Source organism: Homo sapiens, chromosome 1, assembly GCF_000001405.40.
Source record: "Homo sapiens chromosome 1, GRCh38.p14 Primary Assembly".
Classification (NCBI taxonomy): domain Eukaryota; kingdom Metazoa; phylum Chordata; class Mammalia; order Primates; family Hominidae; genus Homo; species Homo sapiens.
This window is the reverse complement of record NC_000001.11, coordinates 78691547-78695380: the sequence shown is the minus strand read 5'-3', so window position 1 is coordinate 78695380 and position 3834 is coordinate 78691547. Positions and strand designations below refer to the sequence as shown.

General features: G+C 40.0%; 3 annotated features.

Annotated features, from left to right (window-relative positions):
• Positions 2151-3350: an enhancer, noted in NCBI's record as "CDK7 strongly-dependent group 2 enhancer chr1:79157716-79158915 (GRCh37/hg19 assembly coordinates)". NCBI's record gives its function as "activates an origin of replication core promoter dependent on BRD2, BRD4, P300/CBP, MED14 and CDK7 cofactors, with strong dependence on CDK7, by STARR-seq in HCT116 cells {active_cell/tissue: HCT116}" and the evidence as "EXISTENCE:reporter gene assay evidence [ECO:0000049][PMID:35650434]".
• Positions 2151-3476: a biological region, named in NCBI's record as "CDK7 strongly-dependent group 2 enhancer GRCh37_chr1:79157716-79158915".
• Positions 2975-3476: an enhancer, noted in NCBI's record as "NANOG hESC enhancer chr1:79157590-79158091 (GRCh37/hg19 assembly coordinates)". NCBI's record gives its function as "activates a minimal SCP1, AML or CMV promoter by ChIP-STARR-seq in naive H9 embryonic stem cells {active_cell/tissue: H9 hESC(naive)}" and the evidence as "EXISTENCE:reporter gene assay evidence [ECO:0000049][PMID:30033119]".

Sequence of the window (3834 nt, the reverse complement as noted above, 5' to 3'; positions counted from 1 at the left end):
TGGATAAAGAAAATATGGTACATATGCACCATAAAAAAATGAGATCATGTCCATTGCAGCAACATGGATGGAACTGGAAGCCATTATCCTAAGAAAACTAATGTCAGCGCAGAAAACCAAATATCACATGTTCTCACTTGTAATTGGAAGCTAAACATTCAAAACATATGGACACAAAGAAGGGAACAACAGACACCAGGGCCTCCCTGAGGGTGTAGGGTGGGAGGAGGTTGAGGATTGAAAAACTCCCTATTGGGTACTATGCTTATTAACTGGGTGACAAAATAATTTGTATCTCAAACTCCTGCAACACACAGTTTACCTATATAGCAAACCTGCACATGTACCCCTGAACTTACAATGAAAGTTTAAAAAATAAAAGTAGCCAATTCCAACTTGAGCTAAAGGTTGAAGCAGAGCCACACAATTGCATTCGCCCTAGATCTGCCTATAACCCCCAGGGTATCCATGGACAAGTGGGCAAGCATAAGCTATTATTTGGCACTTAAATTTGGGGTTGGTTTGATAAGCAGACATGGTGATTCTCAGCCCTCAGCTTGTAATAGTCAGTGACTTTTCCCAGAGTGGTTGGGTTACTACATTTACCAGGTAAGATTGTAGTGGAACTGGAACTCCCTATTCACACAATGATTGATACTCCTGAAACCACAGTGAATTCTAACAGCTTGGGCATGCTTTGCTTTAAAAAAAAAAATCATAAACAACAGGGAATCATGTTTCATTTTTCCACAAGACTGCATGAGCCTGGAATCAACTCCACTCCTAAAGGTGGAACCCACAGCCAAGCACAATGCCCAGGACCTTCTTCCATGATGCTCAGTAAGTGACAGAGACAGGGTGCTCCCTCCCACTGAAGGACAAAGAAGATTGTCCAAGCAATCGCTTTTACTTAGCAAGGTGGCAGGGGTCCAGTTCTCTCCAGCATCAAGCTCTTACCAGGAAAAAAAAGATAGAAAAGAAAGAAATAAGGAATACTGACAAGAGATTGAATAACTCACCATTTTCCAGCTCTACTGCTTTGATGGCAAGTGAAAATGGGCCTAAAGCATGAAATGGTTACATGCTGGTTATTATGGAATTTGTAGCATTATGCTTGCCTGATAATAAATGTGGTTGTTCCTGGGTAATAGAAGGGGTGTAAGTGCCCGAGTCTATATCTGGCAGGGGAGCAAGAAGGTGGAGTGGGGATGGGTGTGTGACTTGAGTGGTAAGTGGATAGTTGGGATAAAAGGGAATTAGCCTCTTTTCTAGCATGTTTCAACATCTTCAAGAAATTAACAGACTTCAGACATTATCAAACATGCAAACATACACACAAACAAAAACAATAATAAAATAGAGCAAAATGTGGCATGAAATGTGGGAAAAGATTATTCTCTTGAACTTGCCTATCTTCAAACAGATGTTTCCTGTGCTATATTTATTTTGGGAATATGATTCTATACAAACGTATTTCAAAAAGTAATAAACATTTCAAGAAAAATTGCAGGAATTTTATGTATACTTTCTAACAGAAAAAAAGATGCGAAGAACAGGACGAAAATGTGTGTGCATGGCCCCCAATCATACTGTGTGCTCTTGTAAAGAATAAAAGTTCAGGCTGGGCACTGTGGCTCCTGCCTATAATCCCAGCACTTTGGGAGGCTGAGGCAGGCAAATCACCTGAGGTCAGGAGTTCAAGACAAGCTTGGCCAATATGGAGAAACCTCGTCTCTACTAAAAATACAAAAATTAGCTGGGCGTGGCGGAGGGTGCCTGTAGTCTCAGCTACTCAGGAGGCTGAGGTGGGAGGATCACTTGAACAGGGGAGGTGGAGGTTGCAGTGAGCCAAGGTCGTGCCACTGCACTCCAGCCTGGGTGACAGAGTGAGACTCTGTCTCAAAAAAAGAAGAAAAAAAGAAAGAGAGAGAAAGAAAGAAAGAAAAAAAGTTTAAATGTTTTAGAAACATTCAAGTAAGTAACAAAGGCCATATTTTCCCTTTACTATGCATAAGGAATTTCTATCGAAGTCAATGGGGTTTTACATAAAAATCAATGGCAAATTATGGTCCTTAATGAAAGAGGAAATTATGATTATAGCACTGCTGGTAGCATCACTATAGTTAAGGCTGAGCAGTCTTTTCCATTATCACTTGTCAGGATTTAATAGCTCAGCTGCTTCGAGTCCTACTTGGCTGAAACGTGATATACAACTCATCAGGCAGGATGTAATTAGTTATTATTATTGTTATTACATAAACAAATATTTTAATCAGTAAAGTATTTTTTAATTATAAAGCTTAAAGAGAATGTTTTTTTCTTAGTAGCAGGTGCAGGAGTGGGAAAAAAGAGAAATAAGGAGACATGCTTAAAAGAAGGTAAATTGACTTTGGCAAGTTCCTCCACTGGAATAACTCATTTTCCTTTCATTGTAGGCACCAATGTGGTCTGCTATGTAATAGAATCTCCTGGAAAAGCAACCCTGTGGAAGACTCAGGCAAGGCCATTCACTGGCTTCTCTCAATCTGTTTTTCTATTGCATGTGCAATGCCATTAAATTATTTTATGTCCATGTGCAATGCAATTAAATGGCAACATACCACAAGGTTCCTAGAACTTCTCAGGACCCACTTGACAATGCCAGTCTTGCTTTACTGAATAAAAGTGCATCATCCTCGGCTTCTACATGTTCTATTGTCACTCAATCTGTACAAATGTATGCCTTAGTTGTGAAAAACCTTACATCAGATCTTTTTGATAGAGCCCAAAGACTTTTTATGACTGTGTTGTGACTGTCCTCTTACTCACCCATGTGTGTGGTACCCAGGGATGAATAATGATGATGCTTATTGCACATGATGCACAGATAAGGAAACTCGAGCAGCAAAGTCGTTTTTTTGTTTGGCTGTTTTTTGTTGGTTGGTTTGTTTTGTTTTGTTTGCTGTTTTTGTACTCAGTGCTAGAGTTTTCTGGCAAATGCAAAGGCCACCTGTGGCACTTTGGAAATATTCATTACCTGGAGAGTGGTAAATAGAATATGAGAGGAAAAGGGAAATGACACTTGTACAGTGCCTATTATGTGCATTGTGTACTTAACCTACTGCTGTGGTTTGAATGATGGTATCCCCTCCAAAATTCATGTTGAAAATGTTGAAACTTAATCCCCAGTGCAATAGTATTAAGAGGTCTGACCTTTAGGCAGTGATTGAGTCATAATGACTCTACCTTCATGAATGGGATTAGGTGCCCTTAGAAAAGCACTTGATGGAGGAAGTTTGCCCCTTTTTGCACATTCCATTCGTTTCAACACAGCATTTCTCCCCTCTGGAGGATGCAGCAACAAGGCACCATCTTGGAATCAAAGAGCAGCCCCCACCAGATGCAAAATCTGCCAACTCCCTGGTCTTGGACTTCCCAGTCCTCAGAACTGTGGGAAATAAATTTGATTTTGTGGACTGCCCAGTCTACAGTATTTTCTTATAGCAGCACAAATGAACTAAGATACTTATGTTATCTCATTTAATCCTCATAACACCACTTATGTGTGGCATTTTATTTACAATTTACAGAGAAGCAAGATGAAATTCAAAGAAATTACGTGCTTTTTTTTCCAGATCGTTCAGTTACTAAGTGGTAGAGATCACCTTCGATCTCAGGCTTATCAGACAAGTTCAATGTTCATCCTATTTTCTTTCTTCACCTCCAAATCCATACACTCATTCTCTTCTCAACACTGCTCATTAGGGCTTTCATCCCCTTCTTTCAGAGAAACTACTCTAGTCAAGTCCACCAACAACCTCCACTGCCAAATCCAGTGATCACCACTCTGTCCTC